The sequence below is a fragment of the Homo sapiens genome, chromosome 17 (genome assembly GCF_000001405.40).
Source record: "Homo sapiens chromosome 17, GRCh38.p14 Primary Assembly".
Taxonomy (NCBI): domain Eukaryota; kingdom Metazoa; phylum Chordata; class Mammalia; order Primates; family Hominidae; genus Homo; species Homo sapiens.
In genome coordinates this window covers 35375064-35399013 of record NC_000017.11, presented here as the reverse complement: position 1 = coordinate 35399013, position 23950 = coordinate 35375064, and the positions used below count along the sequence as shown (strand labels likewise).

The window sequence follows — 23950 nt, the reverse complement described above, 5'->3', positions numbered from 1 at the left end:
TGTAGGTTGCCTGTTCACTCTGATGGTAGTTTCTTTTGCTGTGCAGAAGCTCTTTAGTTTAATTAGATCTCATTTGTCAATTTTGTCTTTTGTTGCCATTGCTTTTGGTGTTTTAGACATGAAGTCCTTGACCATGCCTATGTCCTGAATGGTAATACCTAGGTTTTCTTCTAGGGTTTTTATGGTTTTAGGTCTAACATTTAAGTCTTTAATCCATCTTGAATTAATTTTTGTATAAGGTGTAAGGAAGGGATCCAGTTTCAGCTTTCTACATATGGCTAGCCAGTTTTCCCAGCACCATTGATTAAATAGGGAATCCTTTCCCCATTGCTTGTTTTTCTCAGGTTTGTCAAAGATCAGATAGTTGTAGATATGCGGCGTTATTTCTGAGGGCTCTGTTCTGTTCCATTGATCTATATCTCTGTTTTGGTACCAGTACCATGCTGTTTTGGTTACTGTAGCCTTGTAGTATAGTTTGAAGTCAGGTAGTGTGATGCCTCCAGCTTTGTTCTTTTGGCTTAGGATTGACTTGGCGATGTGGGCTCTTTTTTGGTTCCATATGAACTTTAAAGTAGTTTTTTCCAATTCTGTGAAGAAAGTCATTGGTAGCTTGATGGGGATGGCATTGAATCTATAAATTACCTTGGACACTATGGCCATTTTCACGATATTGATTCTTCCTACCCATGAGCATGGAATGTTCTTCCATTTGTTTGTATCCTCTTTTATTTCCTTGAGCAGTGGTTTGTAGTTCTCCTTGAAGAGGTCCTTCACATCCCTTGTAAGTTGGATTCCTAGGTATTTTATTCTTTTTGAAGCAATTGTGAATGGGAGTTCACTCATGATTTGGCTCTCTGTTTGTCTGTTGTTGGTGTATAAGAATGCTTGTGATTTTTGCACATTGATTTTGTATCCTGAGACTTTGCTGAAGTTGCTTATCAGCTTAAGGAGATTTTGGGCTGAGACAATGGGGTTTTCTAGATATACAATCATGTCATCTGCAAACAGGGACAATTTGACTTCCTCTTTTCCTAACTGAATACCCTTTATTTCCTTCTCCTGCCTAATTGCCCTGGCCAGAACTTCCAACACTATGTTGAATAGGAGTGGTGAGAGAGGGCATCCCTGTCTTGTGCCAGTTTTCAAAAGGAATGCTTCCAGTTTTTGCCCATTCAGTATGATATTGGCTGTGGGTTTTTCATAGATAGCTCTTATTATTTTAAAATATGTCCCATCAATACCTAATTTATTGAGAGTTTTTAGCATGAAGGGTTGTTGAATTTTGTCAAAGGCCTTTTCTGCATCTATTGAGATAATCATGTGGTTTTTGTCTTTGGTTCTGTTTATATGCTGGATTACACTTATTGATTTGCATATATTGAACCAGCCTTGCATCCCAGGGATGAAGCCCACTTGATCATGATGGATAAACTTTTTGATGTGCTGCTGGATTCGGTTTGCCAGTATTTTATTGAGGATTTTTGCATCAATGTTTATCAAGGATATTAGTCTAAAATTCTCTTTTTTGGTTGTGTCTCTGCCTGGCTTTGGTATCAGGATGATGCTGGCCTCATAAAATGAGTTAGGGAGGATTCCCTCTTTTTCTATTGATTGGAATAGTTTCAGAAGGAATGGTACCAGTTCCTCCTTGTACCTCTGGTAGAATTTGGCTGTGAATCCATCTGGTCCTGGACTCTTTTTGGTTGATAAGCTATTGATTATTGCCACAATTTCAGCTCCTGTTATTGGTCTATTCAGAGATTCAACTTCTTCCTGGTTTAGTCTTGGGAGAGTGTATGTGTTGAGGAATTTATCCATTTCTTCTAGATTTTCTAGTTTATTTGCGTAGAGGTGTTTGTAGTATTCTCTGATGGTAGTTTGTATTTCTGTGGGATCGGTGGTGATATCCCCTTTATCATTTTTTATTGCATCTATTTGATTCTTCTCTCTTTTTTTCTTTATTAGTCTTGCTAGCAGTCTATCAATTTTGTTGATCCTTTCAAAAAACCAGCTCCTGGATTCATTAATTTTTTGAAGGGTTTTTTGTGTCTCTATTTCCTTCAGTTCTGCTCTGATCTTAGTTATTTCTTGCCTTTTGCTAGCTTTTGAATGTGTTTGCTCTTGCTTTTCTAGTTCTTTTAATTGTGATGTTAGGGTGTCAATTTTGGATCTTTCCTGCTTTCTCTTGTGGGCATTTAGTGCTATAAATTTCCCTCTACACACTGCTTTGAATGCGTCCCAGAGATTCTGGTATGTTGTGTCTTTGTTCTCGTTGGTTTCAAAGAACATCTTTATTTCTGCCTTTATTTCATTATGTACCCAGTAGTCATTCAGGAGCAGGTTGTACAGTTTCCATGTAGTTGAGCGGTTTTGAGTGAGATTCTTAATCCTGAGTTCTAGTTTGATTGCACTGTGGTCTGAGAGATAGTTTGTTATAATTTCTGTGCTTTTACATTTGCTGAGGAAAGCTTTACTTCCAACTATGTGGTCAATTTTGGAATAGGTGTGGTGCTGAAAAAAATGTATATTCTGTTGATTTGGGGTAGAGAGTTCTGTAGATGTCTATTAGGTCCGCTTGGTGCAGAGCTGAGTTCAATTCCTGGGTATCCTTGCTGACTTTCTGTCTCGTTGATCTGTCTATTGTTGAGAGTGGGGTGTTAAAGTCTCCCATTATTAATGTGTGGGAGTCTAAGTCTCTTTGTAGGTCACTCAGGACTTGCTTTATGAATCTGGGTGCTCCTGTATTGGGTGCATGTATATTTAGGATAGTTAGCTCTTCTTGTTGAATTGATCCCTTTACCATTATGTAATGGCCTTCTTTGTCTCTTTTGATCTTTGTTGGTTTAAAGTCTGTTTTATCAGAGACTAGGATTGCAACCCCTGCCTTTTTTTGCTTTCCATTTGCTTGGTAGATCTTCCTCCATCCTTTTATTTTGAGCCTATGTGTGTCTCTGCATGTGAGATGGGTTTCCTGAATACAGCACACTGATGGGTCTTGACTCTTTATCCAATTTGCCAGTCTGTGTCTTTTAATTGGAGCATTTAGTCCATTTACATTTAAAGTTAATATTGTTATGTGTGAATTCGATCCTGTTATTATGATGTTAGCTGGTTATTTTGCTTGTTTGTTGATGCAGTTTCTTCCTAGTCTCGATGGTCTTTACATTTTGGCATGATTTTTCAGTGGCTGGTACCGGTTGTTCCTTTCCATGTTTAGCACTTCCTTCAGGAGCCCTTGTAGGGCAGGCCTGGTGGTGACAAAATCTCTCAGCATTTGCTTGTCTGTAAAGTATTTTATTTCTCCTTCACTTATGAAGCTTAGTTTGCCTGGATATGAAATTCTGGGTTGAAAATTCTTTTCTTTAAGAATGTTGAATATTGGCCCCCACTCTCTTCTGGCTTGTATAGTTTCTGCCAAGAGCTCCACTGTTAGTCTGATGGGCTTCCCTTTGAGGGTAACCCGACCTTTCTCTCTGGCTGCCCTTAACATTTTCTCCTTCATTTCGACTTTGGTGAATCTGACAATTATGTGTCTTGGAGTTGCTCTTCTCGAGGAGTATCTTTGTGGCGTTCTCTGTATTTCCTGAATCTGAATGTTGGCCTGCCTTGCTAGATTGGGGAAGTTCTCCTGGATAATATCCTGCAGAGTGTTTCCCAACTTGGTTTCATTCTCCCTGTCACTTTCAGGTACACCAATCAGACGTAGATTTGGTCTTTTCACATAGTCCCATATTTCTTGGAGGCTTTGCTCGTTTCTTTTTATTCTTTTTTCTCTAAACTTCCCTTCTCACTTCATTTCATCTTCCATCGCTGATACCCTTTCTTCCAGTTGATCGCATCGGCTCCTGAGGCTTCTGCATTCTTCACGTAGTTCTCGAGCCTTGGTTTTCAGCTCCATCAGCTCCTTTAAGCACTTCTCTGTATTGGTTAATCTAGTTATACATTCTTCTAAATTTTTTTCAAAGTTTTCAACTTCTTTGCCTTTGGTTTGAATGTCCTCCCGTAGCTCGGAGTAATTTGATTGTCTGAAGCCTTCTTCTCTCAGCTTGTCAAAGTCATTCTCCGTCCAGCTTTGTTCCGTTGCTGCTGAGGAACTGCGTTCCTTTGGAGGAGGAGAGGTGCTCTGCTTTTTAGAGTTTCCAGTTTTTCTGCTCTGTTTTTTCCCCATCTTTGTGGTTTTATCTACTTTTGGTCTTTGATGATGGTGATGTACAGATGGGTTTTTGGTGTGGATGTACTTTCTGTTTGTTAGTTTTCCTTCTAACAGACAGGACCCTCAGCTGCAGGTCTGTTGGAGTACCCAGCCATGTGAGGTGTCAGTCTGCCCCTGCTGGGGGGGTGCCTCCCAGTTAGGCTGCTCGGGGGTCAGGGGTCAGGGACCCACTTGAGGAGGCAGTCTGCCTGTTCTCAGATCTCCAGCTGCATGCTGGGAGAACCACTGCTCTCTTCAAAGCTGTCAGATGGGGACATTTAAGTCTGCAGAGGTTACTGCTGTCTTTTTGTTTGTCTGTGCCCTGCCACCAGAGGTGGAGCCTACAGAGGCAGGCAGGCCTCCTTGAGCTGTGGTGGGCTCCACCCAGTTCGAGCTTCCCAGCTGCTTTGTTTACCTAAGCAAGCCTGGGAAATGGCAGGCGCCCCTCCCACAGCCTCACTGCCGCCTTGCAGTTTGATCTCAGAGTGCTGTTCTAGCAATCAGCGAGACTCCGTGGGCGTAGGACCCTGCGAGCCATGTGCGGGATATAATCTCCTGGTGCGCTGTTTTTTAAGCCCGTTGGAAAAGCGCAGTAATCGGGTGGGAGTGACCCGATTTTCCAGTGCCGTCTGTCACCCCTTTCTTTGACTAGGAAAGAGAACTCCCTGACCCCTTGCACTTCCCAAGTGAGGCAATGCCTCGCCCTGCTTTGGCTTGCGCACGGTGCACGCACCCACTGACCTGTGCCCACAGTCTAGCACTCCCTAGTGAGATGAACCTGGTACCTCAGATGGAAATGCAGAAATCACGTCGCTCACGCTGGGAGCTGTAGACCGGAGCTGTTCCTATTCGGCCGTCTTGGCTCCTCCTCCCGTTCCCCACTTCTGTAGGTCTTATGCTGGACATAAAGCCTGCATTTGCTGTAGAGCCGCTGCTTTCCCTGTGTCTTTCTTTAACCCTTGCCTTCCCTTCAAAACCTAACACAGACCACGTAGACATCCAAAGGATAATGAGGTAATACTACAAACAACTCTGCATTCATAAATAAGAAAACATGAAACGAACTGCTTCCTCAAATTGAATTTGTCATTTACAAGCTCCCAAGAAAGAAGTATCTGTGTCCAGGTGATTTCATTAGAGAAGTCTGCCAAACACTTAAAAAAAGTTAACATCAATTATACATATTATTTTCCAAAAGACAGAAGAGAGAACAACACTTCCCAATTCATTTTGTGAATTCATTTATGGTATTACCTAATATCAAAACCAGACAAAGACAGTACAAGAAAAGAAAACCACAGACCAATAGACCTTATAAATATGAATGTAACAACTCTTTTTTTGGTTTTTTTTTGAGGCAGGGTCTCACTCTGTCACCCAGGATAGAATGCAGTGACACGATCACGGCTCACTGTAGCCTCAACCTCCCAGACTCAAGCCATCCTCCCACTTCAGCCTCCTGAGTAGCGTGGGTCACCATCCCTGGCTTTTTTTTTTTTTTTTTTTTTGTACAGACAAGATCTCACTATGTTGCCCAGGCTGGTCTCAAACTCCTGGGCTCAAGTGAGCTTCGCACCATAGCTTCCCAAAGTGCTGAGATTACAGACATGAGACACCATGCCTGACCAAAAACTCTTAATAAATTTCCAGCAAATAGTATCAGCAATATATAAAATGACTTATATACCAGGATTTATTCCAGGAGTGCAAGGCTGGCTCTATTATTTGAAAATTGATCAATGTAATCCACCATATATCATCAGGCTAAAGAAGAAAAATCTACATGACTTTGTATTTGGTGATTACTGTTCAGATGCAACACCAAAAGCATAATTCATGAAAAAAAAAATAGGCCATTGGGCTTCATTAAAATTAAAAATTTCTGCCCTGAGAAAGACACTATTAAGATAATGAAAAGACAAACCACAGATTGGGAGAAAGTACTTGGTAAACACACATCTAATAAAGACTTGTATCCCAAATACACAAAGAGCTCCAAAAACTCAATAACAAGAAAACAATCCAACTGAAATGGGCAAAAGATGTGAATAGACACCTCATCAAAGTGATTTATGGATAGCAATTAAGCGTAGGAATAAATGGCCAACATTATGGGTTGGTAATTTTATTTATTTATTTATTTATTTTTGAGATGGAGTCCCGCTGTTGTCAGCCCAGACTGGAGTGCAATGGCATGGTCTCAGCTCAGTGCAACCTCTGCCTCCTGGGTTCCAGCAATTCTCCTGCCTCAGCCTCCCGAGTAGCTGAGGTTACTGGCGCCTACCACCATGCCCAGCAAATTTTTGTATTTTTTAGTAAAGATGGGGTTTCACCCTGTTGGCCAGGCTGGTCTCAAACTTCTGACCTCAGGTGATCCACCTGCCTCAGCCTCCCAAAGTGTTGGGATTACAGGAGTGAGCCAACACACCCGGCTGGTAATTTTAAATCAAAACAATGAGTTACCACTATACAACTATATGGCTAAAATCCAAAAAATATATGAACAAAACCTCACAAAAAACCTGACAATACCAAACACTAGTGAGGATGTGGAGCAACAGAAACTCTCACTCATTGCTGGTTGGCAGCTTCTTAACAAAAATAAACACAGGCTTACATATGATTCAGCAATCACACTCCTAGGTACTTACATAAAAGAGTTGAAAACATATATCCACATGCAAACCTGCACGTGGATGTTTATAGCTGCCTTATTCATAAGTGCCCAAAACTAGAAGCAATCAAGATGTCCCTCAATAGGTGAATGAAAAAACAAACTGTGGTATATCCAATGGAATATTATTTCTAAGATGACCTGATCGTGGCTGCCATCTCTCAGCCTGGACCCTGCCATGATCCTGCCAGGACTCTGCCACTTGGGGGGTTTTCAGGCCCAACCCTGCTGGGGCTAGAGGAAGCCCTGAGTGCCACTTGGATGCAGCGCCTCTGGGTGGCGGCAGGTATGGGGGGGGGCAGGAAATATGGTAGCGGTTGGGAGGGCGCAGAGGCCATTTATAGGGTGTGTAGGGCCCGAGAAGGCAGGTCTACGGACGCAGGCTCGGCGGCCTGTTTAGGCCATGGAGCCACACAGATCCGGGTCCTGGGGTGACCACTCTGTCCCAGTTGGGCGAGACCTACCTAGTCCTGATGACACTGGACAAAGGCCTTAACCACAGGAAGGTGAGTGGAGTCCCCCAAGCATGATGGGTGGAACGGTTAGCACCCATTGGTGAGGGTGGGTCTTGGTTCTACCTACCAGATGTTGATGTTGGAAGAATGGTAGAATAACATGCCACATTTGGCCCATTGAAAGGCCCACCACACTTTGGGAAGATTTACTGGCCATTTATAGAAGGCCTGTGTATTTAATATGAAAAAGCTGTTCTCAACTTTCCTCCCAACCCTTTAAAAGAAAACATTTGCTAAATCTAGCCCTTCTAGATGTAAAGAGATTCCCATGGTATGACAGAGTTAGAAAATCACATATCTTGTATATTCCCATTTGTTTAAAAAGAAATCATAGAAAATAAATGTCTTCTGTAGATGACTTTTTGAAATGGAGTTGTCAGACCACCTCTGGAAGTGACACCAAGAGTGACAAGTCCACATTTATTCAGGGGGTTAGAGGACATGGAGCGGAAGACCTGAGAAGGAAGAGAAGAAGGTTCTATGCCTGACTGGTTATATTTAGAAGACATTTTCGTATTCTCACCATTGTTATGTGTGTGTGTGTTTTATTCACCACTACTGTATACATAGCTGACAATGCTAAGAACTTTTTTGAAATGTTAATATCTAGTCTTTCTAGATGTTCTGAAGTGCCAGACATTTGTTAAAATTAGAGGTAGTAAAATAACACATTTTGGTACTTTGGTGTTAAAATTCATATGAAATGTTGTTTTGGAGAGGAATGGCCAAACCACATCTTGCGTAATACACATTGTGTTTGTGTACTACTTTGGTGCCGAGGGAGAAGGAGGAAGTGTATGAACTCTATGCCAGGGTGCTTATAGTGAGGCAAGATTAATCATTGTCTCTTATGTCTGTGCATTTTGTTTTATTTATCTATGTATATAAAGGACAACTGACTCCTAACTTACAACATGTAGTCTTTCTGGAGAGTAAAAGAAGTTGTCAGGGTATGAAAAACATAGAGTTAGTAAACTAATATATTTAGTTTACATTTACATTTTACAATTTACATTTTGTAATTTACATTTGCATTTTGTTTTAAAATTCCTAGGAAAGATTGTCTTCTGAAAAGTTGAATATTATTGCTCACTGGGTTGATGGAGATGGGAAGGGTTTTAAATCCAAATGTTCCTGTTTGGAAGGTTCTATCAAATTATAAAGGGAACTGCCATTTATAAAACCCTACAAGCCACTCTCCTTTATAAAACCTCTACAGACACCCCCCACTGGGGCTATCAAGCTAGTAGCAGCTTGGCAACTCTCTGGGACAGAGCTCCAAGTGGGAGGGGTAGATTGCTGTCTTTGCTGTCTTGCAGCCCTCGCCCTTGCTGTCTGCAGGATCTGGAGACTCTCTGGAGGTCAGGGGCTGGTCTAGACCCCCAGCACAGAGCACCCACCTGATGGAAAAGTGGCCGTATTGTTCTCCATGCAGGTCCTGGTCCTCACTTCTCCTCAATGGGCAGGGCTACCTGACCTGGGACTCCAGCACAACCACCTTGCCCCTGCCTGGCCACTTCAATCAGAGGCATCTCAACATTATTTTGAGGAGGAAATCCCAGAGTCAACCTGCAATCCCTCTGCCTCTGCAGTTGCAGTGTTAGTGACCTAGCAGCCCTCAAGCTGGAGAAAGAAAAAAGCACCTAGTCACTATGCTGGCACTGCCAGCACACTGCAGCCACCATATGGATAGAAGTCCAGCCCTTATTCCCTGGGAACTCCCATTCCCCACTCTTTGCCAGGCAGTTTTCCCAGCTCATTACTGCAGAACAGCCACTGTAACCACAGCTGAGAATACCCACTGAGAGTGGCCCAGAATTACCCTGGGGAGAGACTTCCAGAGGCATCCAACACAGCCCCTCTGCCACTGCCACAGCAGTGGTTCTATCCTTGCTGCCCTCAATCTGGGGAAGAAACAGAGCCTGAGGGCTGCAACCAAGCTACAGCATGCCACAGTCACTATATGGAGAAGAGGCCAGGCTCTCCTCCTGGTGAACCCTCAGCCCCCTGCTTCCCAACAAGCAGGACCCTGAGCTCATGCCAGTAGTGCAGCCACCTCACCCTACTGGCTGAACATTCCCAGTAACAGCAGCTCTATGTTACTCAGAGGTAGAACCCCCATGGGAAACTGAAAGCCCCTCTGCCACTGCCTCTGCAGTGGTACTATTCCTGCTGCCCTCAGACTAGCAAAGGAGCAAAGACCCTAAGTACATTCTCCACACCTTCAACAAGCAGCAGTTGACCCAAGAAGAGGAAGCCAGAACATCTCCCATGCTTCCCCACCCACCCACCTGCTCATCACTAGGCAGGGATGTGGATCCAGCTGGGGCCCAAAGCAGAGACCCCCCCCATTCTGGGCCGATTGCACTGAGTGATTGCTGATCTGCATCTCTCTAGGGTGGAGCCTCCAGGAGACCAGCAAAAGACCCTTGGCCATGACCACTACAAATAAGGTCCCTTCATCAGTTGCCTCCAAGTTAAGGAGGCAACATAAACCCTGAGATCACCCCAGAGCTGTGGTGGGCAGCCCAGGAGTGCCAAGACAATCTACAGCCAGAACTCAAGTGGGAGAGGAGCTCACACTTTCAGAGCATTGAGAGAGAGCACAGCTGCAACTGTGAGGAAACACAAAAACCGCATAACCGAGCAAGAGTCTATTAACTGGCCAGTACGCTAAGCACCACCAACTGGACCACACCCCAAAGCTTCAGCACCAAAATACCTTGCTAACATACAATCCAGTCAAACCAAAGATAAGTCAGCTATACATAAAGACCCTGCACAAAGCCTTGACCTGTGAAAACATCCGGAAAAGAAGTCTTCTGAGTGTATTCAATCTACATCATAGTTAAAGGAACATCCACATGCAAAGATGAGAAAGAACCAACACAAGAACTCTGACAACTCAAATGGCCGGAGTATCTTATGTCCTCCAATCAACCACACTTAGTTCTCCAGCAAGGGTTTGTAACTAGGCTGAAATGGCAGAAGTATACTTTAGAACATGACAGGAACAAAGATCACTGAGATTGAGGAGACCAGCAAAACCCAATCTAATGAAACCAAGAATCACAATAAAACAGGAGCTGACAGATGAAATAGCCAGTATAATAAAGAATCTAACTGATCTGATAGAGCTGAAAAAACACACTACAATAATTTCACAATGCAGTGGCAAGTATTAACAGCAGAATAGACCAAGCTGAAGAAACAGTCTTGGAACTTGAAGACTGATTCTCTGAAATAAAGCAGTCAGACAAAAATAAAGAAAAAAGAATAAAAAGAAATGAATAAACCTCCCAGAAATATGAGATTATGTAAAGAGGCCAAATCTATGGGTCACTGGAATCCCTGAAAGGGGTGGGGAGAAAGCAAACAACTTGGAAAACATTTTTGAGAATATTGTCCAGGAAAACTTCCCTAACCTTGCTAGGGAGGCCAACAGTCAAATTCAGGAAATACAGAGAACCTCTGCAAGATTCTACACAAGAAGATTATCCCCAAGACCCATAATCATCAGGTTCCCCAAGAGAGAAATGAAAGAAAATATTTAAGGCAGCTAGAGGGAAAGCACAGGTCACCTCCAAAGGGAACCCCACCAGGCTAACAATGGACCTCTCAGAAGAAATCCTACAAGCCAGAAGAGATTGAGGGCCTGTATTTAACATTCTTAAAGAAAAAAATCTTCAACCAAGGGTTTAATATCCAGCCAAACTAAGCTTCCTCTGCAAAGAAGTAAGATCATTTGCATATAAGCAAATGTTGAGAGAGTTCATTACCACCAGACCTGCCTTAAAAGAGATCCTGAAAGGAGCACTAAATATGGAAAGGAGAGGCCATTACCAGCAAACAGAAAAACACATGTAAGTACTTAGACTAGTGACTCCATAAAGCAACCACACAAACAAGCCAGCATAATAACCAGCTAACAACACAATGACAGGATCAAATCTACACATATCAACTTGCTAACATACTAGCCTTGAATGTAAATGGGCTAAATGCCTCATTTAAGAGGCACAGGATGTCAAGCTGGATAAAAAAGCAAGAGCCAATGGTATTCTGTCTCCTGGACAACCATTTCTCAAGCACCCATTGGCTCAAAAAAAAAAAAAAAAAAAGGGATGGAGGAAAATCTACCAAGCAAATGGAAATCAGAAAAAAGCAGCAGTTGCAGCCCTAATATCAAACAAAACAGACTTCAAGCCAAAAAAGGTAAAAAAAATAAAAAAGAAGGGCATTACATAATGGTAAAGGGTTCAATTTAACTAGAAGACCTACCCATCCTAAATATATATGCAACCAACATAGGAGCATCCAGATTCATAAAGCAAGTTCTTAGAGACCTACAAAGAGACTTAGACTCCCACACAATAATAGTGGGAGACTTCAACATTCCACTGACAGTATTAGAAGATCATCAAGGCAGAAAATAAACAAAAATATTCAGGACCTGAACTCAATATTGGACCAAATGGATCTGATAGACCTCCACAGAACTCTCCACCCCAAAACAACAGAATATACACTTTTCTCATTGCTACGTGGCATGTACTCTATAACTGACCACCACACAATCAGACATAAAACAATCTATGACCAACTCACAGCCAATATCATACTGAATGGGCAAAAGCTGGAAGCATTCTCCTAGAAAACTTGCACAAGACAAGAAAGCCCTCTCTCACCACCCTTCTTCAAGATGGTATTGGAAGTCCTGGCCAGAGCAATCAGGCAAAGAAAGAAAGGGCATCCCAATAGCAAGACAGGAAGTCAAACTATCCCTGTTTGCAGATGACATAATTCTATGCCTAGAAAACCCCATAGTCTTGGCCTAAAAGCTCTCTTAGCTGATAAACAACTTCAGAAAAGTTTCAGGATACAAAACCAATGCACAAAAATCACTAGCATTTCAATACACCAACAACAGCCAAGATGAGAGGCACATCAGGAATGAAATCTCATTCACAATTGCCACCAAAAAATAAAATACCTAGGAATACACCTAACCAGGGAGGTGAAAGAGCTCTACAATGAGAATTACAAAACACTGCTTGAAGAAATCAGAGATGACACAAACAAATGTAAAAACATTCCATGCTCAAGAATTGAAAGAATCAGTATGATTAAAATGGCCATACTGCCCAAAGCAATTTACAGATTCAATGCTATTCCTATCCAACTACCAATGACATTTTTCACAGAACTAGAAAAAAAAACTTTAAAATTCATATCAAACTAAAAAAGAGCCCAAATGGCCAAAGCAGTCCTAAACAAAAAGAACAAAGCTGGAGGCATCACGTTACCCAACTTCAAACACTATTGTAGGGCTACAGTAACCAAAACAGCATGGACCTGGTACAAAAACAGACACACAGACCAATGGAACAGAGTAGATTCCAGAAATAATGCCATACACCTACAACCATCAGATATTTCACAAAGCTGATAAAAATAAGCAATGGGGAAAGGACTCCCTATTCAATAAATGGTCCTCGGATAACTGGCTAGCCATATATAGAAGATTGAAACTGGACCCTTTCCTTACACTATATACAAAAATCAACTCAAGAAGGATTAAAGACTTAAATGTAAAACCAAAACTATATAAACCCTGGAATACAACCTAGGCAACACCATTCTGGACATGGGAACTGGCAAAGATTTCCTGATGAAGATGCCAAAGGCAATCACAACAAAAGCAAAAATTGACAAAGGGGATCCAATTAAACCAAAGAGTTTCTGCACAGCGAGAGAAACTATCAACAGAGTGAACAGACAGCATAGAGAATGGAAGAAAATATTTGCAATCTATCCATCTAACAAAGGTCTAATATCTAGCATCTATAAGGAACTTAAACAAATTTACAAGAAAAAAACAACCCCATTAAAAAGTGGGCAGAGGACATGAACAGAAACTTTTGAAAAGAAGACACATTTGGCCATCAAGCAGATGAAAAAAATTCAATATTATTTGTCACTGGAGAAATGCAAATCAAAACCACAATGAGGGCCAGGCGCAGTGGCTCACACTGTAATTCCAGCTCTTTGGGAGGCTGAGGTGGGTGGATCACTTGAGGTCAGGAGTTCGAGACCAGCCTGGCCAACATAGTGAAACCCCATCTCTACCAAAAATACAAAAAATTAGCTGGGCATGGTGGTGCACGCCTGTAGTCCCAGCTACTCTGGAGGCTGAGACAGGAGAATTGCTTGAACTCAGGAGGCAGAGGTTGCAGTGAGCCAAGATCATGCCATTACATTCCAGCCTGGGTGACAGAGTGAGATCTATCTCAAAAAAACAAAAGCAAAAACAACATGATACCATCTCACACCAGTCAGAATGGCTATTATTAAAAAATCAAAAAATAACAGATGCTGGCGAGGTTATGGAGAAATGGGAACACTTATACACTTTTGGTGAGAGTGTATATTAGTTCAGCCATTGTGGAAAGCAGTGCGGCAATTCCTCAAAGAGCTAAAAACAGAACTACCATTTGACACAGCAATCCCATTACTGAGTATATACCCAAAGGAATATAAATCTTTCTACCATAAAGACACTGATGCGTATGTTCCTTGAAGCGCTATTCACAATAGCAAAGACATGGAATCAACCTAAATGCTCATCAATGGTAGACTGGACAAAGAAAATGTGATATATGTACACCATGGAATACAATGCTGCCATAAAAAAGAATGAGATCATGTCCTTTGCAGGATCATGAATGAAACTGAAGACCATTATCCTTAGCAAACTAATGCAGGAGCAAAAAACCAAATATGGCATGTTTTCACCTATAAGTGGGAACTAAATGATAAGAACAAATGGACACAAAGCGGGGAAGAACAGACACTGGGGCCTACTTGGGGCCTACTATAGCTGATGCTTTCTGGAAAGTGCAGCCTCCTGGAAGGAGGCCAACCACCACAAAAATAGAGCATTAAACCACCAAAGCTCAGGACCCTCATGGAGTCTGTTGCACCCTCTGCCACCTCCACCAGAACAGGCACTGGTGAGAGACCCATAGATGGTTCACATCACAGGATTCTGTGCAGACAAACCACAGTACCAGCTCAGAGCCGGGTAGACTTGCTGGGTGACTGGACCCAGAAGAGAGATAACAATCACTACAGCTCAGCTCTTAGGAAGCCACATCCTTAGGAAAATGGGGAGAGTACTATATCAAGGGATCACCCTGTGGGACAAAAGAATCTGAACAACAGCCTTCAGCCCTAGACCTTCCCTCTGACAGAGGCTACCAAAATGAGAAAGAACCAGAAAACCAACCCCAGTAATATGATGAAACAAGGCTCTTCAATACTCCCCAAAAATCACACTAGTTCACCAGCAATGGATCCAAACCAAGAAGAAATCCGATTTACCCAAAAAAAAAAAAAAAAAATTCAGGAGGTTAGTTATTGAGCTAATAAGGGAGGGACCAGAGAAAATCCCAGTGCAAGGAAATCCAAAAAATGCTAAAAGAAGTGAAGGGAGAAATATTCAAGGAAATAGATAGCTTAAAGAAAAAAAAATCAAAAATTCAGGAAACTTTGGACACACTTTTAGAATTGCAGAATGCTCTAAAAAGTCTCAGCAATAGAATTGACCAAGTAGATGAAAGAAATTCAGAGCTCACAGACAAGGTCTTTGTATTAACCCAATCCAACAAAGACAAAGAAAAAAGAATAAGAAAATACAAAAAAAGCCTCCAAGAAGTCTGGGATTATGTTAAATGACCAAACCTAAGAATAATCGGTGTTCCTGAGGAAGAAGAGAATTCTAAAAGCTTGGGAAACGTATTTCGGGGAATAATTGAAGAAAATTTCCCCAGCCTTGCTAGAGAACTAGACATCCAAACACAAGAAACACAAAGAAAACATGGGAAATTTATTGTGAAAAGATCTTCACCTAGGCACATTGTCATCAGGTTATCTAAAGTTAAGATGAGGGGAAGAATTTTAAGAGCTGCAAGACAGAAGCACCAGGTAACCTATAAAGGAAAACCTATCAGATTAACAGCAGATTTCTCAGCAGAAACCCTACAAGCTAGAAGGGGTTGAGGCCCTATCTTCAGCCTCCTGAAACAAACAATTATCAGACAAGAATTTTGTACCCAGCAAAACTAAACATCATATATGGAGGAAAGATACAGTCATTTTCAGACAAACAAATGCTGAGAGAATTCGCCATTACCAAGCCACCACTACCAGAATTGCTAAAAGGAGCTCTACATCTTGAAACAAATCCTGGCAACACATCAAAACAGAACCTCTTTAAGGCATAAATCACAGAGGACCTATAAAACAAAAATACAAGTTAAAAAGAAAAACAAAAAACAAGTCCACAGGCAACAAAGCACAATGATTGCAAAGGTACCTCACATTTCAATACTAACAGTGAATGTAAATGGCCTAAATGCTCCACTTAAAAGATGCAGAACCACAGAATGGATAAGAATTCACCAATCAACTACCTGCTGCCTTCAGGAGACTCACCTAACACATAAGGACTCACATACACTTAAAGTAAAGGGGTAGAAAAAGACATTTCATGCAAATGGACACCAAAAGCGAGCAGGGGTAGCTATTCTTGTATCAAAACAAACTTTAAAGCAACAGCAGTTAAAAGGGACAAAGAGAGACATTATATAATGGTAAAAGGCCTTGTCCAACAGGAAAATATCACAATCCTAAATATATATGCACCTAACACTGGAGCTCCCAAATTTATAAAACAATTACTAATAGACCTAAGAAATGAGATAGACAGCAACGCAATAATAGTGGGGGACTTCAATACTCCACTGACAGCACTAGACAGGTCATCAAGACAGAAAGTCCACAAAGAAACAATGGATTTAAACTATACCCCGGAACAAATAGACTTAACAGATATATACAGAACATTTCATCTGACAACCACAGAATATACATTCTATTCAACAGTGCATGGAACTTTCTCCAAAAGAGAACATATGTTAGGCCATAAAACGAGCCTCAATAAATTTAAGAAAATTGAAATCATACCAAACACTCTCTCAGACCACAGTGGAATGAAGCTGGAAATCAACTCCAAAAGGAACCTTCAAAACCATGCAAATACATGGACATTAAATAACCTGCTCCTGAATGAGCATTGAGTCAAAAACAAAATCAAGATGGAAATTTAAAAATTCTTTGAATTGAAGGACAATAATGACACAACTTATCAAAACCTCTGGGACACAGCAAAGGTGATGCTAAGAGGAAAGTCTGAAAGAGCACAGACAATTTAAGGTCACACCTCAAGGAACTGGAGAAACTAGAACAAACCAAACCCAAACCCAGCAGGAGAAAGGAAATAACCAAGATCAGAGGAGAACTAAATGAAATTGAAACAAAAGAATACAAACGATAAATAAAACAAAAAGCTGGTTCTTCGAAAAGATAAATAAAATTGATAGGCCATTAGCAAGATTAACCAAGAAAGGAAGAGAAAATCCAAATAATCTCATTAAGAAATGAAACAGGAAATATTACAACTGACACTACTGAAATACAAAAGATCATTCAAGGCTACTATTGTAGAAGGACAAGCCGCAGACAAAACCCCTCAGACACCGAGTTAAAGAAGGAAGGGCTTTATTTGGCCGGGAGCTTCAGCAAGACTCATGTCTCCAACAACTGAGCTCCCTGAGTGAGCAATTCCTGTCCCTTTTAAGGGCTCACAACTCTAAGGGGGTCCACGTGAGAGGGTCATGATTGATTGAGCAAGCATGGGTTACATGACTGGGGGCTGCATGCACCAGTAATCAGAACGGAATAGAACAGGACAGGGATTTTCACAGTGCTTTTCTAAACAATGTCTGTAATCTATAGATAACATAACCAATTAGGTCAGGGGTCGATCTTTACCAGGCCCAGGGTGTGGCATCAGGCTGTCTGCTTGTGGATTTCATTTCTGCCTTTTAGGTTTTACTTCTTCTTTCTTTGGAGGCAGAAATTGGGCATAAGACAATATGAGGTGTGGTCTCCTCCCTTACTATGAACACCTTTACACACATAAACTAGAAAACCTAGAAGACATTGATAAGTTCCTGGAAAAATACAAGCCTCCTAGCTTAAATCAGGAAGAATTTGATACTCCGAGCAGACCAATAACAAGTAGCAAAATTGAAATGGTAATTTAAAAATTACCAACAACAAAAAAAGTCCAGGACCAGATAGATTCACAGCAGAATTCTACCAGACATTCAAAAAAGAATTGGTACCAATCCTTTTGACACTATTCCACAAGATAGAGAAAGAAGGAACCTCCCTAATTCATTCTATGAAGCCAGCATCACCCTAATACCAAAACCAGGAAAAGACATAACCAAAAAAGGAAGCTACAGACCGATACCCTTGATGAACATAGATACTAAAATCCTCAACAAAATACTAGCTAACCAAATCCAACAATATATCAAAACGATTTATAGATTGTGAAGATTTTTTCCCACTCTGTGGGTTGTCTGTTTACTCTGCTGACTGTTCCTTCTGCTGTGCAAAAGCTCTTTAGTTTAATTAGGTCCCAGCTATTTATCTTTGTTTTTATTACATTTGCTTTTGAGTCCTTGGTCATGAAATCTTTGGCTAAGCCAATGTCTAGAAGGGTTGTTCCAATGTTAACTTCTAGAATTTTTATACTTTCAGGTCTTAGGTTTAAGTTCTTAATCCATCTTGAATTGATTTTTGTATAAGGTGAGAGCTGAGGATCCAGTTTCATTCTCCTGCATTGGACTAGCAAATTATCCCAGCACCATTTGTTGAAAAGGGTGTCCTTTCCCCACTTTATGTTTTTGTTGGCTTTGTCAAAGATCACTTGGCTGTAAGTATTTGGATTTATTTCTGGGTTCTCTATTCTGTTCCATTGGTCTATGTGACTACTTTTATACTAGTACCATGCTGTTTTGGTGACTATAGCCTTACAGTATAGTTTGAAATCAGGTAGTGTGATGCCTCCAGATTTGTTCTTTTTACTTAGTCTTACTTTGGCTATGCAGGTTCTTTTTTTGGTTCCATATGAATTTTAGAATTGTTTTGTTCTAATTCTAATCCACCATGATCAAGTGGGTTTCATACCAGGGATGCAGGCATGGTTTAACATATGCAAGTCAATAAATGTGACACACCACATAAACATAATTAAAAATAAAAATCACGTGATCATCTCAATAGATGCAGAAAAAGCATTCTACACAATCCAGTGTCACTTTATGATTAAAAATCTCAACAAAATCAGCATGCAAGGGACGTACCTTAATGTAATAAAAGCCATGTATAACAAACACACAGCCAATATAATACTGAATGGGGAAAAGTTGAAAGCATTCCCTCTGAGAACTGGAACAAGACGAGGAGGCCCACTCTCATTACTCCTCTTCAACATAGTACTGGAAGTCCTAGCCAGAGCAATCACACAACAGAAAGAAATAAAGGGCATCCAAATTGGTAAAGAGGAAGTCAAACTGTCACTGCTGACGATATGATCATTTACCTTGAAAACCCTAAGGACTCTTCTGGAAAGCTCCTAGAACTGATAAAAGAATTCAGCAAAGTTTCTGGATACAAGATTAATGTGCACAAATTAGTAGCACTTCTATATACCAACAGTGACCAAGCAGAGAATCAAATCAAGAATTCAACCCCTTTTTACAATAGTTGCAAAAACAAACAAATAAATAAATAAATAATAAATAAACAAACAAAATACTTAGGAATATACCTAACCAAGGAGTCAAAAGACCTCCATAAAGAAAACTATAAAATACTGCTGAAAGAAATCATAGACAACACAAACAAAAGGAAACACATCCCATGCTCATGGATGGGTAGAATCAATATTGTAAAAATGACCATACTGACAAAAGCAATCTACAAATTCAATGCAATTTCCATCAAAATACCACCATCATTATTCACAGAATTAGAACAAAACAATTCTAAAATTCATATGGAACCAAAAAAAAGAACCTGCATAGCCAAAGTAAGACTAAGTAAAAAGAACAAATCTGGAGGCATCACACTACCTGATTTCAAACTATACTGTAAGGCTATAGTCACCAAAACAGCATGGTACTAGTATAAAAGTAGTCACATAGACCAATGGAACAGAATAGAGAACCCAGAAATAAATCCAAATACTTACAGCCAAGTGATCTTTGACAAAGCCAACAAAAACATAAAGTGGGGAAAGGACACCCTTTTCAACAAATGGTGCTGGGATAATTTGCTAGTCCAATGCAGGAGAATGAAACTGGATCCTCAGCTCTCACCTTATACAAAAATCAATTCAAGATGGATTAAGAACTTAAACCTAAGACCTGAAAGTATAAAAATTCTAGAAGTTAACATTGGAACAACCCTTCTAGACATTGGCTTAGCCAAAGATTTCATGACCAAGGACTCAAAAGCAAATGTAACAAAAACAAAGATAAATAGCTGGGACCTAATTAAACTAAAGAGCTTTTGCACAGCAGAAGGAACAGTCAGCAGAGTAAACAGACAACCCACAGAGTGGGAAAAAATCTTCACAGTCTATAAATCTGACAAAAGACTAATATTCAGAATCTACAATGAACATAAACAAATCAGTAAGAAAAAAAACAGTCCCATCAAAAAGTGGGCTAAGGACATGAATAGACAATTCACAAGGAAAGATATACAAATGGTGAATGAACATATGAAAAAATACTCAACATCAATAATTATCAGGGAATGCAAATCAAAACCACAATGCGATACCACCTTACTCCTGCAAGAATGGCCATAACAAAAAAGTCAAAAAACAGTAGATGTTGGCATGGATGCAGTGAACAGGGAACACTTCTCCACTGCTGGTGAGAATGTAAACTAGTATAGCCACTATGGAAAACAGTGTGGAGATTCCCTAAAGAACTAAAACTAGAACTACCATTGGATCCAGTAATCTCACTGCTGGGTATCTATCCAGAGAAGAAGTCATTATTTGAAAAAGATACTTGCACACGCATGTTTGTAGCAGCACAATTCGCAATTGGAAAATCATGATACCAACCCAAATGCCCATCAATCAATGAGTGGATAAAGGAACTGTGAGATATATGTATATATACACCACGGTAGTATTCCATCATATATATATATATATATATATATATATATATATATATATATATATATATACACACACATACATACATATATACTACACAGCCATAAAAGGAATGAATTAACAGCATTTGCAGTGACCTGGATGAGATTGGAGACTATTATTCTAAGTGAAGTAACTCAGGAGTGGAAAACCAAACATTGTATATTCTCACTGATACGTGGGAGCTAAGCTATGAGGACTCAAAGGCATAAGAATGATGCAGTGGACTTTGGGGACTCTGGGGAAAGCGTGGGAAGGGGACAAGGGATTAAAAGACTACAAATATGTTGCAGTGTATACTGCCTGGATGATACGTGCACCAAAATCTCACAAATCACCGCTAACGAACTTACTCATGTAACCAAATACCACCTGTACCCCAATAACTTATGGGGAAAAAGTCCACTGCATGTCTATAAAGCAAAAACAGGTAGGAAAAATAATATTTTTGTAAAAACAGGAAGAAAATAGGAGTCATAAGGAAAAGTCCTCTGTTGGTTTATTATCTATATGTTTTTGTTCCCATTTCTTCTGTGGTAGCTCTAGGGCTTACAATATGCACCTTCAACTTACCACAGTTTAATCATAGCATATGACTTTGTGAATTATGTAAGAGCTTTATAACAATACACACCCATTTCCTCTATTCCTAAAAACAAAATATTTCTATTATAAGCACCACAATACATAGTTTTATTCCTTTAAAAACTTAATTATTTTAAGAATAATTTTCAGCACAGTGGAGGAAGTCGTGCTACCCCGCAGAGTTGGCGTGTGTTCTAGATTCATCCTGGTACCACCATGTCGAAGGTTTCCTTTAAGATCATGCTGACATCGGACACGCAGCTGCCATACAAAGTACTCAGTGTACTTTGTACTTTCCTGAAAGTACACCTTTCACAGCAGTCTTAAAGTTTGCAGCCGAAGAATTTAAAGCTCCTGCTGCAACAAGTGCAGTTATTACCAATGATGGAATAGGAATAAATCTTGCACAGACTGCTGGAAATGTTTTTCTAAAACAAGGTTCAGAACTGCGGATTATTCCTAGAGATCATGTTGGAAGTTGTTAATATCTGCTACTTGGAACATACGATTGCCTTTCAGAATAAATATTGGTATTTTTTGTTGTTGTAAAATTGAAATCAGGCATTTAACATACTATGAAAACACTAAGAGTCAATGAATAATGAAAGGTGACTCATCTGTCCCTTTTTGTTGTTCATACTCTTCATATGAAGAGGGAATGCATAAGAATTAAGGCTACTACTGTCACAGAAGATCATAGTCTTTGCTACCTCACAACACAAATAGGTAGTTCATTGGGGGGAAATGAATTAGCCAACTGTGTTAACTGCAAGGTTCTGATAATTTTTTTTTTGAGAACAATTTGGAACATTAAAATTTACTGAATCTTATATATTCATCTGACTTAAAAATATACAAAGAATTACGGATCCTGGATGGCAATTTGCTTGATAGCATCTGATTTGCAGACTCATAGTTTGATTTTTAATTAAATATATAGGTTATGATGAAGTCAATAGACATATCAGTGAACAATTAACTATATTAAATTTTTATCATTTACTTTTTCTAAGATTAAAACCTCATGTATTATATAAATTTCAGTTTAGTATCCACAAAAAAATTAAAATAATAATGTAACTCTTATGTGTATAAATTGATGTCTCATACCAGGTTTTAATGTTGGACTTGCAGAATCCAATATTTGTAATGGTGGGAATTCACAATACAGTAGAAGCATCCTTTGCTGAGTTATAGATTCCTTTATCAATCTCTTTTGATACAACTTTTAAAACAAGTATCTTCAAGAAACCATTGGTGTTTTGAGGATAATATTTCTAAATAGCATTCAGGAAGAGAATATTATTGCACAGAAGATCTGATGATCAAAAAAAAAAAAAAGCTCAAGGAGATGCAGATTGAAAGTGCTGACAAGTTATATTTATTGAAGATCCAACTTTTAAGGAAGTGCTAAGATTAGTCACTCATGTGAATAAGAAGCCAGGAAAGGAAAGATGGGGAAACCTAGATGACCAGGCTTCTGTTAAGGAGGAAAGCAACGGAGGAAAACAGTGAAGGGGAACAGAAAAGTGTAGCAAAGTGTTACAGAAAAGCCAACTGGATAGACAACACTGCAGAAGGTAGAGGTTGGGGAGAACTGAAAGGGAAAACAAAATACTTGACATAGTCTTAAGTAGTAGAAGGCAATTAGAGAAAACTAAGTATCTACTGGCCTTGTCAACATACAGACTTCAAAATACCCCTTATGAGAATCCAAAGAATGATGTGTGTAAGGGAAGATTTTATGTGCCCTTCCAGAAGAAATCAGTATCTATGTAAATCTTGAAAGATGAAATCAAAGCTCATAATGATTCAGAATCAGTGCTTGCCCTGCTGTATTCTGTCTGAACGGTGAACTCTGGAAGCAGGGATTGTGTCTGTCTGGCTCTTTTTAGAGCTGGAAATGTAGTGGCTTTCATTAAATACTTGCTGTGAAGTCTCTCTAAGACCAATTATTATCTTAGCATGTTTCAGTATCTTCTCTGTTATAGGCTCTAGGTTCATTGGGGAAAAAGATATAAGAAAATTCAACAGACTCAGCATTTGAAGTGTGCCATTGGTAGTTGTTTATGAAGTTACCAGATATTCATATATGTGACAAATGAACAGCAGGATTATGAATTATCAAAGGAAAAGACATTTGCTGAGGTGAAAAACTCTGGTGTTTGAGGAAGTTTTTATTTTTATAAAATAAAAATATTTTAAAATTTTAAAATCTTATAAATAAAATCTTTAAAATATTATAAAATAAAAATATTTAAAATATTTTATTTTAAAATCTGATGTTCAAACGCCCGTTTCTTACAATAACTATTGAGCCTCAGTTAACCAGAAATTTGTGAACATCCATTTCCTGACTTTTTGCTTTAAATTTTTTCTCCACTGTTTCTAGCACAAAAGTTTGCCTGCTGTGTTGCAGAAATAAATTTATGTTGTCCTCTGCCATAAAGTGATATATTTAATATTTTTATTCTTTGTTTTTGAAAATTATATTGTAAGTTCCTAAAAACATTTTATTAAACAATTAGACATTTTGTTATTAAATAAATGTGATCTGTAATTTCTTTGTGCAGAATGATTTGAAGTATTGTATTTAGTTTACATGCATTGTGGGTTCATAATTAATATCCAATGAAAATACATTTTGTTATATTGTAAAAAAAGAATAATTTTAACAGTAAAAAAGAGATTTTTTATATTTATCTGCATATTTACTATCTTCTGTGCTCTTCATTCTTTTTTGTAGATCTGAGTTTCATTCAGGTATCATTTTCCTTCCAGCTAAAGAACTTCCTTTAATATTTTTTCATAAGAAAGATCGGCTGGTGACA

General features: G+C 39.5%; 1 pseudogene, besides 2 other annotated features; it reads left to right on the top strand.

Moving 5' to 3' along the window:
- Positions 4091-4590: an enhancer, noted in NCBI's record as "H3K4me1 hESC enhancer chr17:33721443-33721942 (GRCh37/hg19 assembly coordinates)". NCBI's record gives its function as "activates a minimal SCP1, AML or CMV promoter by ChIP-STARR-seq in primed H9 embryonic stem cells {active_cell/tissue: H9 hESC(primed)}" and the evidence as "EXISTENCE:reporter gene assay evidence [ECO:0000049][PMID:30033119]".
- Positions 4591-5092: an enhancer, noted in NCBI's record as "H3K4me1 hESC enhancer chr17:33720941-33721442 (GRCh37/hg19 assembly coordinates)". NCBI's record gives its function as "activates a minimal SCP1, AML or CMV promoter by ChIP-STARR-seq in primed H9 embryonic stem cells {active_cell/tissue: H9 hESC(primed)}" and the evidence as "EXISTENCE:reporter gene assay evidence [ECO:0000049][PMID:30033119]".
- Positions 21268-23778, top strand: UFM1P2 (UFM1 pseudogene 2; annotated as a pseudogene).